The following is a 14,910-nucleotide window of genomic DNA, read 5'->3' on the forward strand; positions in this document are numbered from 1 at the left end:
AGGCGTGGACCATCAAACCTGGATAATTTTTGTATTTTTGGTAGACAAGAGTTTTACCATGTTGGCCAGGCTGGTCTTGAACTCCTGACCTCAGAGGATCCACCTGCCTCAGCCTCCCAAAGTGCTGGGATTACAGGCATGAGCCACCATGCCCAGCCAATATTATAAAATTATATACACCTAATACCTCAAAATACATGAAGCAAAAAGCAACATATCTACATCTAGACAAATCCACAATCATTATGGTAGAATTTAACACACTTCTGTCAATATTTAACAGAACAAGCAGACAAGTCAGTAAGGATATAAAAGATTCAAACAGCACAGTCAGCAACTATAACCTAATGGACATATATAGAATACTGAGCTCACAACTACAAGTGTACATTATTTTCAAACACACAAGAAACAATTTCAAAAATCAACCATATGCTGAGTCATAAAGCATGTCTTGGCAAATCTCAAATGACTGAAATTATACAAAATACACTTTTTAAATACATTGCAAGTAAGCTAAAAAACCAATAACAAAAATGATGATTAGAAAACTCCCCTTTTTTTTTTTTTTTTTTTTTTGAGATGGAGTCTCACTCTGTTGCCCGGGCTGGAGTGCAGTGGTGCAATCTCGGCTCACTGCAACCTCCGTCTCCCTGGTTCAAGCGATTCTCCTGCCTCAACCTCCCAAGTAGCTGGAATTACAGACACGTGCCACCACGCCCAGCTAACTTTTGTATTTTTAGTAGAGATGCGGTTTCACCATGTTGGTCAGGCCAGTCTTAAACTCCTGACCTCAGGTGATCCACCGGCCTTGGCCTCCCAAAGTGCTGGGATTATAGGCGTGAGCCACTGCGCCCGGCCCCATATATTTGAAAATGCAGATGTACATCTAAATTACCCAAGAAAACAATTGAAATAACATTTTAACATATTTTAATAGAATGATAATAAAAATATTGAATGCTGAAAGTCATGGGATAAGGTTAAAGCTATGATTAGATGAATATTTATAACTATAATTGCATATATTGATTATAGGAAAGGTTTAAAATTAATGAACTAAGCAGTCATCTCAAGAAATTAGAAAAAGTACAGAAAATTAAACCCAAAGAAAGAGAAAAGAAGAATTTAATGCACTAAAAAACAAATATAAAATATGAAATATAGATGGTTCCCAACTTACAGTGGTTCAACTTACGATTTTATCACTCCAATAATATGAAAGCAATATGCATGCAGTATGCTCCTCAACTTACATTGGAATTATGTCCAGATAAACCCATTCTAAGTTGAAAATATCTTAAGTTAAAAACACACTTTAAGTGGGACACAATTTCATTGTAAATGAAGGAGGATCTGTAACAACAAAACCAAAATCTGGACTTTTTGGAAAGAGTAATAAAATTGATTTAAAACCCTAGCAAAATGGCTTGGTGGCTCATGCCTGTAATCCCAGCACTTTGGGAGGCCAAGGCGGGAGGACTGCTTGAGGCCACGAGCTCAAGATCAGCCTAGGCAACATAGTGAGACCCTGTGTCTACAAACAAAAAACAAACAAAAACTAGCAAGATTTATCAAGGGGGCAAAAGAAAGAAAAAGAAGATTAAAATAATCAATGTCAGGCATGATAAAGAGACATCACAACAGAACCATCTTTATTAAAGATCATAAGAAAGTATTATGAATAGTTTTATGCCAAAACATTTTGCAAATTTAGATAAATTGGTGAATCCCTTAAAAAGAAAATTTATCAAAAATGGACACAAGAAAGTATGTAAATCTTAACTAACCCAATAACCATTCAATAAACTGAATTGATAATTTAAACCTTTCCACAAAGAAGACTCCAGGCTCAGAGTAATACCCTCAGAAACACACATATGCCTCCACCAGCACACAAGAGCAAGGATGATCACAGAAGCGTCATTTATAATAGCCCTAGACTGGAAACAACCTAAATGTCCGTCAAGAGTAGAATAGACAGACAAATTATGCCATTTCTTTAATGTAATACTATCCACTGATAAAAACTGCAAACTACACCTACACATGACAACCTGGATGATTTTCACAAGTATAATGTTGAGTAAAAAGTGCGGCGCATGAAAGAATACACACTGTTTAGTTACATTTATATAAAGTTAAAAAAAAAAAAACAGCCTTTAGCATTGAAATGCTAAAGTTTAGTTTAGCCAAAAACTAAATCTTAGCATTTAAAGAGACTTTTTTCCTTTTTTTTAAGATTTTATTTTTTTAGAGCAGTTTTAGGTTCACAGCAAAATTGAACAGAAGGTACAGAGATATCTCATATACCCTCTGCCCCCCACATAGCACAGCCTTCCCCACTGTCAACATCCCCCACCTGGGCTGTGTGTTTGTTACAATCCATGAGCCTACACTGGCACATCGGTATCGCCCAGGATCCATAGTTCACATTAGGGTTCTCTCTTGGTCTTGTACATTCTACAAGTTTTGACAAATGTTTAATGACAGGTGCCCATCATGATAGTATCATACAGAGTAGTTCACTGTGCTAAAAACCCTCTGTGCTGCACTGTTTGATCCCTCCCTCCCCCTAATCCCTGGCAATTACTGATTCTTTTTTTGTGTGTGTGAGACGGAGTCTTGCTCTGTTGCCCAGGCTGGAGTGCAGTGGCGCCATCTTGGCTCACTGAAACCTCCGCCTCTCGAGTTCAAGCGATTCTCCTGCCTCAGCCTCCCGAGTAACTGGGACTACAGGCGCATGCCACCACGCCTAGCTAATTTTTTGAATTTTTAGTAGAGACGGAGTTTCACCGTGTTAGCCAGGATGGCCTGGATCTCCTGACCTCATGGTCCGCCCGCCTCAGCCTCCCCAAGTGCTTGGATTACAGATGTAAGCCACTGCGCCCGGCCAATTACTGATCCTTTTACTGCCTCTGCAGTTTTGCCTTTTCCACAATGACATATAGTTGGAATCACACAGCATATAGTCTTTTCAGACTGTCTTCTTTCACTTAGTAATATGCATTTAAAGTTCTTCCATATCATGTCATGGCTTGATAGCTCATTTCTTTTGAGGACTGAATAATGGTGCATTGCCTGAATGTATCCCAGTTTATTATCTATTCACCTACTAAAGGACATCTTGGTTGCTTTCAAGTTTTTACAGTTATGAATAAAACTGCTATAAACATCTGTTTATATATATATTTAGGTGGTAAAGATAAACAAAGATGCTTTACATAAAAAGTCAGGATAATGGTCGCCTCTGATAGGGAGGGAGGGTAGAGGTGGACGGGGGAATGAAGAGTACGTCCAGGGTGAGGGAGGGCAGAGTTCTAGTTCTCGATCAGGCTGATAATGACACTGGTGTTGACTTTGTGATAAATCACTGAACTGTATATCTTTGGTTTTGGGGGGTTTTTTTTGGTTCTTTTTTGTTTTTCTTTTTTGTTGAGACAGAGTTTCACTCTTATTGCCCAGGCTGGAGTGCAATGCGTGATCTCGCCTCACTGCAACCTCTGTCTCCCAGGTTCAAGTGATTCTCCTGCCTCGGCCTCCTTTTTCTGTACGTACATTCTATTTTACAATTTTTAAAAGTGATGAAAAAAAGAAAAAGAGAGTCAGAAAGGAGGGAAGGAGGACGGAATGGAGAGAGAACAGAGACCTTAGAAGCAGAAAGGCAGAAAGCTGAGGCATTAGAGCACATGTTGTGTGGCCTCAATCTTTTCAATAATGTATGAGGCACAATCTCCCGGAGAGATCAAGGGTCTGAAAGGTCTGGACAAGACTTGCAACAGCTGCATTAGAAATGTGGTGGGCTAGGAGTCTGCTATAGGTCAGGAAAAGGATTGCCGAATAAACTCTACTGAGCATGGGCTGCAAACTCAGATGCCCACGGGGAACAGGCAGGCATCTCATGAATCAGGTTGTCTGGGGAGTGGGAGGAAGCAAGCCCGTTGATTAAAGGCATCTGATTCTCAGTTTGGGGTCCAGGAAGACACTCTCTGTTGTTGCAGAGAAGGTAGCAAAATGGAGTGTATGCCCCATGTCAGAGAAGCCACTGCCTCTCAGCTCCAGCCAGTGGTCCTTCCAGAATGGGTAAAGACCGGGTACCGCCAGCTCTCCATCTCTGCTTGCCGAGCTAAAACTCTGGATTTTCTGGTGACCTCCTATTTCTTAAATGCTCATAACTAAATCAAATTGTTTTAAATATCATTCCGGCCAAAAAAAACCCCATTTGATGCTCCTGATGAGGTCCGTGAGGTCCGAGACCCCTGCATGAACCAGTCAGATCACCATGGAACAAGTCGCCCCAGGGCATGGCTGTCTCCAGCCGCTCTGAGTAGCCAGCGGTGCAGCCAGCTGGTCTCAGATTTGGGCTGTGATGAGTCTGGATGGCAGAAGAACAAGAGGGATGGGAAATTGAGGGAGGGCCTCATTGAAAGGGCTCACTCCAGGAGCCAGAAAACCAGAAGAGCCTAAGGGACCCAGAGCTAGAGTGAGACCAGAGATGCACAGTCCCCATGAGGACAAAGAGCCCAGTGAGGAGAAAGGGAGAGGTAAAAGGATAAAAGAGTCAGAAGGAGTTTCAGAATCTAAGAGCTCCAAAAATAAACCTTTCCCTTTGTATCACTTTTCTCTTTTTACTTTAGTTGCTCTCAACTTGCTGCTTCCTTTTTTTAAAAATTCTAGCAATTCTGCAGGAAACCAGAAGTGTGAACCAAACACAGTAACTCTAGGTGTTATGGCGCTGTCCTGCTCACCCTTCTTTTGGCCTACTGGCTTCAAAGGTAGGCACACACACCGTCCCTTTTCTAATGATCCGGTCGTGGATTCAGGCTCAGTAAGCCAAGACCACAAGCAACAGGGCTTGGGCTCCATCTGCCTCGGCTGCTTGCAGCTGCCTTCCAGGAAGTGCTGGAACAGCAGAAGCAGCTAGCAGTGCGCTCAAGAAGTGGTCAGCAGTTGGGAGCAGCTGGAGGAGGGGAGGCCAGTGAGCAAGTATCAGCTTGGGAAATAGGGTTTCGGCTGAACAAAGTTCACTGCTGTTTTCTGAGAAAGCAGAACCTAGTGGAGCCACCCTAGAGAATAAGGAGAGGAGCAACTGGAACTGAGTGTTGGCTCCAAACTTCCACGGCATGATATGCTTGGCCACCCAATTGTGATCAGGGCCATTGTTGTTCCCCTGGGGGCAGGGGGCAGAGGGCAGGCCGCCGCTCGGAGTAAAAAGGGAAGACAGACAGGCAGTCCAAACACCACCAAATGACAGAGATGCAGACCAAGACAAAAGGAAAAAACAACAGAAGGGATTTTTGTCCTTGAGACGTGCTATGCAAATTCTTTTCAATTAGTTTCCTATTAATGATTCCATCTTGAACATTTAGAGCTGCTCAACCCAGGCAGCATCTACGTTTTGAAGTAGTAAGTTCTCCATTCCTAGCAGAGTCGGAGGAGAAGCTCAGCTGTTATCCACCAGAAATTCTATTAAAAGGATGAAAGGTTGAACTAGATGACTTCTCATTCTGAAGACTGTAATTCAGCAGAACTGACTAATCCCTGGCAAATGATACCCTTTCTGAGTATGCATGTGTCACTGAAAGTCACTCAGACAAACCAGACTATTTGTAAATAGGTCTGATTATCTGCAAATTAGTTGATTGAAGGTTCCCGGGTATCAAGCAGGGCTTATTTTAAGAAATTAAGTTAATTTAGATAATAGCTGTGTTGAAAAGCAACAAGTTCAAAAACAATTAAAAAGAATGCAGCTTCCCTTTTATTTTTTTCAACTCTATATTTTCTTTTCAAATTGCTTCTAATAGACCATCTGTTAAGAAAGCCTCTTTTGACCGGGTGCAATGGCTCACACCTGTAATCCCAGCACTTTGGGAGGCCGAGGCAGGTGGATCACCTGAGGTCATGAGTTCAAGATAGCCTGAGCAACATGGTGAAACCCCGTTTCTACTAAAAACACAGAAATTAGCTGGGCGTCGTGGCACGCGCCTATAAACCCAGCTACTCTGGAGGCTGAGGCACAAGAATTGCTTGAACCCGGGAGGCAGAGGTTGCAGTGAGCTGAGATAGCACCATTACACTCCAGCCTGAGAGACAGAGCAAGACTCCATCTCAAAAATAAAAAAAAGAAAGGCTCTTTCGTAAATTACTTAAATATGCTTAGAAGTCATTATTACTTTTTAAGTCAATAGAAGTCTTTTTAGTTTATCTAATAGCATATTAATTCCTATGCTTTATGTGTTTGTACCCACACAACACCCAGCCCTGCACCTAACACATAACAGGTGCTCAATAGATGTTCATTGAATAAATTGGTTGCAAAAACCGAGTGTATACATTGAACATTTCTGCATATTGGTGATAATAATAGTATTTTGAACACTTGTTCTATGCCAGTGACTGGGTCAAATAAACACTCAACCTCATAGTAATATCTGCGAAGTGATTGCTACATTAGCCCCATTTTACAGATGATGCAACTGAGGCTGGTGAGAGGCAGAGCCAGGATTCAAGGCCAGGCCTGTCCAACTCCCGAGCCGAAGCTCTCAGCGAGGGTATCAAACTGAATCTGAATCCTCTTAGTTTATCTATTTTAAAGTGCTGCATGTGGTATGTTCAGGAGACGAAAACTCTCTGATGAGGCACGTGTGGATGGGATGGCAGGGCTGAGAAGGCCGGCTCCCCCACGGGGTGTGCACAACCTACCTCCCCAGCTGTTTCTGCTACCGGCTGGGGCCTTCAACTCCACCGCCTCCCCTCCCCCAGGCCCTAAATCACTCTCAGGCCTTTTGTTCTTCCCCACAGCTGCTCAGCAAATTCCTTGATTTGAAATTACGATCACAGGTTGGAGTGCTACTTAAAATAATTTTGCCAAATGTTCCATCTCTCTGTGTTGATGAATATAATGGATGACAATTTAAAGAGCAAAAAAAAAGTAAGTATTCACTTTGTTGAAGACAAAAAAAAAAAAATCATAAGCTGCATGCATAGCATTAGTTTGGCTCTGAAAGATTCATTCCCCCAGGAAGCTAGCCAAATGCTGGACTTTTGTGAACCGCAGCATGGCCGGGAGAGCAGGCTGCTGGCAGGTATGGCCTGCAATAGAGGGAGAGAGCAAAGGTCAGGGCATGTGTTGGGTTTGTTTAAGCATGAGTCAGAGGAGTGGGGGTAGACCTGGGGATCCAATTTCCAATTTCCTGTGCAAGTCACTGAGCCACACTTCTCCCCTTCCCCAAAAGCTTTTTATGCGTACCGCTCTGCAGAACAAAGGGAGATATGGTAGGGGGACACATAAATAACAGGGACAGGCCGGTCTTCTTGAAGGTGGAGCCTCTCTTGAATTTGGAAAATGCAAGCTCTGAGGGAAGCGGGGATGAAAGCAGACCACACGCATCTAGCACTTTGGCCAACTGAGGCTTCCTGGGCTTGGAGGTCCTCACCCGGGGCTCTTAGCGCAGCCTGAGCCCAGTGTGAAGCCATGGGCCAGCCCTTCCTGCAGGCGGGCCCTGTGGCCAGGCTCAGCTCAGGCGAGGGGTGGCTGGGCCATGAGGAATCAGAACAAAGCTTCTTCCTTCACACCCGGTCCTGCTCAGCAGGTGGACTCCACGTTAGACATTTCCCCCACGTCCTAAGGCTTCTTCCAGGCTTGAGCCCTGAAAAGCAGGTGGGGAGAGATGAGCAAATGCTGAGCAAAAAAGAGGTGGTGGTGACGCCTCTCTAAAGTTTTCCATACCAAAAAAGCCCTGGTACAAGGCAGGCACTGCTGGCAGCCCGGCCCCACAAGCTTACTTCCAGTGCAGGAATCCAATGGGAACATGTGCCCCCAGGGCCACCCGAAACGCAAACTGCTCTCTGAAAACCAGGTCAGCCTCTCTGTAGGAGTCTTGCCATGCAGAAAACACCAGGCCCTCTGGAAACGCCCCCTGTTCACTGAGGGTCTCTGGCTGGCCGGCACTATGCCCAGCAAGGCCACCTCCCGTAAGTGACACGCCAGGGTCTTGCTGAATCACAATAAGCTGGGAGCTCTGTGCACCCCCCAAAATGATCTTCCACACAATGAAAAGCACTCGAAAGAAATGGTTACAGCTGCTGGGGGCACCGTCAGCCTTTGAGGGCAGTGAGGTGCCAGGGTGGCAGCCTCTGGGGCAAACAAGTCCCAGATCCACCGCTTCCCAGCTGTGGAAGTTTCCTGCCCCTTTCTGGGCCTCAATTTCCTCGTCTGTGAAATGGGCATAACCGTGTCACTTCACCAGGGGGTTGTAATGGGTAAATGCCCCTGCTCTGTGGATAAGCAGGGGTCTTTTGAGCTATTTCCACCAGAAATGGCAGAAGCACGGCAGGGCAGGAGAAGCACCTGTCTGCGGGTCAGGACAGAAGGCAAAGGTGTCTTTACACACAGAATATGCTACAGTTCTTTGTCACGCCCTCAACCTCCAGGACTGTCTGCTTGGCTGTACAGTCTGCTTACCATATTCCCTCCAAAGTAGGGCCCCAGCCCCGCCCAGCCCCTCATGGACTCCACTCCAGACCCTCCTCCCAGACAGCCGGGGAAGAGAGGCAGAGCCTGCGGTGTTCCCCTCACTGAGCTGCGGCAGTTCCCCTCTCTTCCTTTCTCTCAGGTGACTCTTTTGACCCCCAAGGATCCCTGAACACTCATGTGCTGTCTCCAGCCTCTCTTGCTTGGAAGAGGAAAGAAATATCTCGGGTTCCTTTGTCTTCGGGCCACACTAGCTCCTCCCTACCCCACTTACTCAGGACACACCAGGAGGGTGCAGAAGGACTGGCTGCCCAACGGAAGGAGATTTTATCACTGATATTGCTTGAACTTACTGGTGTGTGGCAATTAAAATGGTTTAAAAGCAGTCTCACTTGGAGCTGGATTGATTCTTGTCTTTAAACTCTCTAGGGACGATGCCGTCCTCACTGCCAGCCCCCAAGGCACACCCATCCCCGTACCCTCCTTGCTACTGCTCATCCAGGACCCCATCTTTACGGGCCTCCCAAGTCATAGGCGGTCACTCTCTTCTCTCCTTGGATGCCCTTAACACAGAAAATGATCTGCGCCCTAGTTACCGCCTCTCCTACAGGAGCCCTCGGGAGACAGGCTTGTCGGGAATCCTCAAAAAGGGTGCTCTCCCTCTCCCCGGAAGCTCTTCTTGGGCCCTTTGGGAAAGCAAAGAAATAACCCGTCCTCCAAATCCCCATGGGCATAAGAGGAGGGTCTTTGATGCCTCATTTTTCTTCTTGTGTTTTTATTTTCCCTTTTTGCAGATCTCTGCATTTAATGAGGAAGTGCTGTCAGCAGAAAGGAGAGGAAGCTTCACCCCGACCATCCGCAGGACCCACATCCCTCTCAGCGGGAAGGCAGAATCATTCATCTATTGCTCTCCTTGAAGGGCAGCTCCAGACACTCACGTGGACACAAGTAGGAAAAGCACAGAGTGTGTCATCACACTGTGTACCTCATACAGGTGACGTCCTGGAGAAACCTCTGGAAAAACAGAAATTTTATGACCCACAATTAAAATGATTTAAGTAATAAATAACCCTGATAGCTTGCCCCACCAAGTGTATGCTATGTTCCACACCCCAGGCCCCTCCACATCCATCTCCTTGCCGAGCCCTCTAACAACCTTACAAGGGAGAGACTTTTTACCCTCACTTCCCAGAGGAGGACACTGAGGCCAAAGAAGGGAAGGGATTCCCCAGGTGACACCGTAAGTGACAGAGTCAAGACCCACATGGCCTGGCTGAAGTCAAGGTCACCCTAATTCCTCACACAGCCCCACCAGAGGTTCCCACAGTGCTGTGTGCCAGCCAGGTGATAAGGCCTTTCCACAAAGGACATCAAAATACCTCAACAGGCTGGACGCGGTGGCTCACATCTGTAATCCCGACACTTTGGGAGGCCGAAGCAGGCGGATCACCTGAGGTCAGGAGTTCAAGGCCAGCCTGGCCAACATGGCAAAACCCCATCTCTACTAAAAATACAAAAAATTAGCCAGGCATGGTGGTGGATGCCTGTAATCCCAGCTACTCGGGAGGCTGAGGCAGGAGAATCGCTTGAACCCGGGAGGCAGAGGTTGCAGTGAGCCAAGATCGTGCCATTACACTCCAGCCTGGGTGACAGAACGAGACTCCATCTCAAAAAAAAAACAAAAAAAACCTCATCATCAGTAGAGAACTGTCACCTTCCTAAACGAGGAAACTGACACTTTTAAAAGCAAACAGATTTCTGAACTTGGGGTTAATGATAAAACTGGAAAAACATAAAAGACTCCCTGTTCCTCTCCTCCATTATCAATATGTGCCTTAGATTTGGATGCCAAGTCAAATCTCACCAGAACTATATCCTCCATGGTAACTTATTAAAGAGTCAATCAAAGTTTGCTTTAAGAGAAAAGTAAATACACCCAACTTTCCATACAATGCCGGACCCCGAGTTCACTTCCTGGTTTCACTGTTGACTCAGGTTGCAATCCTAGATAAGTAACTACACATGCTCACTGCCCTGGGCCCAAAGCTGGGGCGAGAGCCTGGAATCAGCGCACCCCCAAGAATTCCGGAACATGGGAAGATGCCCATCTTTCATGGAGGGGGCATGCCTCGAAGAGGAAAATCAGGCAAAAGGCCGTGTGCAAAGCTCCACGTGCAGGTGCAAGCTGCTTGTCCCTGAGTCTCTGATTGCGAGGAAAGGGGTCACCCGCTGGTCGCACCACCAACAAAGCCCTGCCATCCTTTGGCTCTGCGCTCACCCATAATTACTGGGCGTGAGGTGGGAAGGGCCGCCCTTTGGGACTCAGGTGGTGGGGAGGCTGCAGAACAGAGTCGGCAAGTCAACTCCAATCACAGTAAGCATTTTCAAAGAAACACATAAAAATAGCCAGAAGTGGGTCAGCACTTCCAGTGAGGTTAGAGACAGGAAATTGGGACAGACTCCCGGTCCTGTGTAGAGAGATAAAAGTTTTATTTCATAAGTACAAACTCATACTCTTTCCAATCTGATTCCTCGTTTCTTTTCTTTTGCTTTTTCATCTCCTCTGTCTTTTGGATACACAGGAAACACACACACACAGCTAACAAAAACAGTGTGATGTTGGAATCTTGCTCCTTCAGTTCTAAGGTCCTCTTTTTCCTGAAGCTGAAGAAAAAAGATACTTAAAGAAAACTTACTTGAGAGTCAGGCAGGAAGGGGAGATGGGATACACACTTTCCCTATCTTTCAGGTTTCTGCAATCTCAGCGCATGCTGCTTAAGAGGAAAAGAGCAGCAAAGCAGATGAAAAGCACTGCATCCTTAAGTGATTTACCTGTTCCCAAGCAGGCCTGCCTCACACCTGCCTCCCCCCAGTTCCCTGTCATTGACCCTCCCGCCACCATATCTGTGGCATCTGGTGTGCTGCACACACAGTATATGTGTGCAAGTGCATGGTATATACACATAGCACACATGCATACATGCTATAAACACATGCCCATATATAGGCTCAGTGCACAGGTACGCACAGTGCTCAGGTACACAGAGTACACACACCTGCTAGCCACATACACTCTCAGTGTACACACATGGTGCTCATGCACACATGGTAGTGCATGGTGAATCCACATAGCATCCATGCACACACACAGTACCCACACACACACGCGGTACATACACATGGCACCCCTGCACATACACAGTAGACATGCGTAACCCAGAAAGTGGTTCTTGCTCTCTCTGCAACCTTAAGACTTTGGCAGTTTTTGTTAACTCCCACACTTGGCAGGATTACATTTCCTTGTGGCCTCAATGACGTGATAGGGCAGATTTATTGGGCTTACAGAAAAAAAGAGAGAGGAGAGAGAGCGAGAGAGCGAACAGTAAACTCTGCTGTGCAGTCAACCTGGACCTTGGTTTTAAGTTGCACATCATCAGGGCCAAGAGAGAAGATTTGGCAACATGGGGTGGTTTGGTGAGAGTCGGCATGTTTCACTGGTAATCTGCTGGAGCACTAAAATATATACATCCAAAGGTTACCTTCTTTCAATTCACTGAAAAATAAAAGGAGCTTCAAGGCTGGACCAAATAACACACATAAATAACTCATGCATGCCTGCATGCATAGATGCAAACATACATACCCAAGATGTGTAGCAAACAAAACAGGCACAGTGCTTTCAGGAGAAACTTGGGTGTGGAAGTAAGTTCTACCTTTTTGCTCTATTTTCCTCCTGGAGGGAGAGAGGAAAAGCAGCTGCCTAAATGCTCAGTCAGCCCACAAGCTGTCATGCGTGACTATCTCCAGGGCAGACAGGAGAGCAGGAACCCCTTTCTGAAGCTGAGTTCTGATGCAGAATGTTTTCAGGGCTTAAGACAGCCCCCACACAGCTAGCCAACAGAACTTTCTGGGCTGCGGTCAGTTAGCTATGTCGCACAGGAATGGCATCTGCTTTCACTTATTTCAGAACTCAAGCATAAGTCCTGGGAGTATTTGACCAAAAGAGCCTCCCGCTTGGCGTGCGAGGGTTAGGTTTCCAGAAGATGTAGCACGTACCTGCGCTTTCAACTCCCAGAAGCCAAAGCTATGGAAAGATCTCAGCGTGTTTTTTTTTTAATTTTATTTTAAAATCATACCGTTTTAAAAGTTCTGCTTGTTATAAATCCAGCCTGAAAGCAGATGAATGAAACATAGACCCACACAAAAAAAATCTACAAGAATAGATCTTTTTTTTTTTTAACTTGGGGTTTTTGAGGAGGGATTTTAGAGGAGTGGCGGGGAAGCTACTCAGTCGAGATAAACTCCTTAAAAGCATGGGCAAAATTCCCTTTTCTGTGACCAGTTTTTTTAAAAATGACAAAGTCACACAAGAGAGGAAATGAAAAGGGAAATTTTTAGACTTCTCATCTGTGCTGAAAGCCCCGGGCTGTTTCAGAACCCGGTCAGGGTAACCGTCAGGCCTGCGGTCACCGCGCTGCAATCCCAGGAGGCCTTGCGTCAGCGGCCATTATATCAATAAGGAAGTACAATCACCAAACCACAAGCCGGCTTCTTTTCTAAGCCCACATGTTGCTTTAGAGGGTTTTCAAACAAGAGACTTTCCTGTTTTTGAAACCTGTGAATCCACAGGTCTTACAGGTTACTCAAATTATCTTATCACTTGCAGCATGAATTTCAAAACTGCTTACTCCAGCCTTCCCCTCCCCTGGAGGAACAGACGTCCATTTACAAACCAGAATCCTTATTTACAGTGTCCCGTTGCCAATTGCTGACACAGAAGGGGGAAAAAATACCAGTTATACATTAAGCTTTAAGGTTAAAGTATCTGTGCCAGACGCTGTCCAAACACCATCTATTCACTGACCTGAAGGCAGGATGACCACACCGGAGAAAATTCTACAGAAACAGTTTTGCGGTCACAGCAGTATTCCTTCACAGAGCCAGGCTATGTTTCCTGCAGATGCATACACATGCTTGCAAATGTACTGTAAGAAATCATCACAATTCACAGGAAACATATTTATCCTAAGATGTGTAGCAAATCTGTTGGAAATTTTTAAGCACAGCCAAAAGACATCCCAAACCACCTATGAGGTTGCTTCCCAGGTTGCTGGAAAAATCAACGTAGGATAGCATCGGTAGAGGACGCTACCGCGGCGCAGGTGAAAGATGTAAACAGTGCAATCTAAATCTTCAATGGGATGCAAGTCAGACTTATTTTTCTCTTGAGCAAATAAAAAGATTCAGATTAAAGAGTGCCTTATAGAACTGGTACAGAGTTCTACATAGAACTGATATAGAGTTCATCTAATAAGAGTGTCTTATAGATGAGATAAATCCATAAACAAACGTCTCTCTTTCCTGCTCAGCTCAGCAGCTTGAGAAAGATGTGCCACACCTAACAACTGCATTTGACAGCCATCTCCTGGTTTAACTTCTACCCTGGCCAGCGGCCACTTAGCGTTGCCCCAGCAATGCCTGCAGACTTCATCACGCGCTCCCTCGCTGGAAGCGTCCCTCCTAAGGCAGACCTGAAGTTCACAGAGGGCTTCTGGACAGTAGTTCACATTCTGTTTTCAATGGTGGCCTAATCAGACTGAGAATAAACAACAAGTGAACTTTATCCTGCAGCTACAACCAGTGAACTCTAAGCCCATTTCACAGAATGCACACAGCAATAATGGATCTAGCAGACACTTATCTAATCTCACACTTTCCGTCTTTTTGGGTTATAATCAACACTTAGCTCATCAACACACACACACACACACACACGCACATCTTCCAAAAAAGAACCTGCTCTCAGTTTAAGCACACTGAGATTTTATTTATCTTATTTTATTTGTCTGCATTCCAATAAACCTTCTAACATTGAAATGTTGAGACAGACACTCTAAAGTCAGGATGCTGTGATGTTTATGTTTGAGGGAGGGTTCTTTCAAAGTAGCCAAAATTGTCTCTCTTAGGAAATGTGAAGTGTGAATGAAGCCACACCAAAAAGTCTCAGAAGTAAATCTCTCAAAGATTATGACCAGCCTGTTGTGGAATAACGCAATATATCCTTAGAGGAAAATACAATAAAGTAAGAGAATTCCAGGCTTCCTACACAGGCCCAGTAGGTATTTTTTATCTTAATAACTCGTTGGTAAATGGCCTACTATGTCCATAGGAAAAGCATCCTCTTCTTCAACTGTGTTTTAAAAAGAATAACTTCTTCTTTCCTCCTTTGGAAAAGCCATTGCTCCAAAATTCACATAAAACAAATACAGACTGGTTTTCTGTTCCTTTCACTTTCTGTCCCTATCACTTTAGGCTGTGGTAACCAGGACTTCTAGGCCTAAATATGCTTGCCTGATTTTGCCTGAGTTTGCTGGAGAATTGCTCAACCACCCTCTCACTTTGGCTGTGTAGACCATAGCTCTTGCCCTCCCTCCAGG

General features: G+C 45.2%; 2 long non-coding RNA genes across 2 annotated transcripts, besides 3 other annotated features; one reads left to right on the plus strand and one right to left on the minus strand.

Annotated features, from left to right (window-relative positions):
* Positions 1-6,769: 6,769 nt before the first annotated feature.
* On the plus strand, positions 6,770-9,560 carry LINC02971 (long intergenic non-protein coding RNA 2971). Its single transcript, NR_186179.1, has 2 exons — positions 6,770-6,931; positions 9,268-9,560. It is a non-coding gene; the product is annotated as a long intergenic non-protein coding RNA 2971 (long non-coding RNA).
* On the minus strand, positions 6,913-13,570 carry LNCATV (lncRNA negative regulator of antiviral signaling). Its single transcript, NR_125945.1, has 4 exons — positions 13,338-13,570; positions 9,412-9,487; positions 7,250-7,649; positions 6,913-7,092 (listed from the first exon to the last, which is right to left on the minus strand). It is a non-coding gene; the product is annotated as a lncRNA negative regulator of antiviral signaling (long non-coding RNA).
* Positions 12,336-13,535: an enhancer, noted in NCBI's record as "MED14-independent group 3 enhancer chr1:235098512-235099711 (GRCh37/hg19 assembly coordinates)". NCBI's record gives its function as "activates an origin of replication core promoter dependent on BRD2, BRD4, P300/CBP and CDK7 cofactors, and independent of MED14, by STARR-seq in HCT116 cells {active_cell/tissue: HCT116}" and the evidence as "EXISTENCE:reporter gene assay evidence [ECO:0000049][PMID:35650434]".
* Positions 12,849-13,148: an enhancer, noted in NCBI's record as "active region_2775". NCBI's record gives its function as "activates an Ori minimal core promoter by ATAC-STARR-seq in GM12878 lymphoblastoid cells {active_cell/tissue: GM12878}" and the evidence as "EXISTENCE:reporter gene assay evidence [ECO:0000049][PMID:35858748]".
* Positions 13,169-13,218: an enhancer, noted in NCBI's record as "active region_2776". NCBI's record gives its function as "activates an Ori minimal core promoter by ATAC-STARR-seq in GM12878 lymphoblastoid cells {active_cell/tissue: GM12878}" and the evidence as "EXISTENCE:reporter gene assay evidence [ECO:0000049][PMID:35858748]".

This window comes from Homo sapiens, chromosome 1 (genome assembly GCF_000001405.40).
Source record: "Homo sapiens chromosome 1, GRCh38.p14 Primary Assembly".
Taxonomy (NCBI): domain Eukaryota; kingdom Metazoa; phylum Chordata; class Mammalia; order Primates; family Hominidae; genus Homo; species Homo sapiens.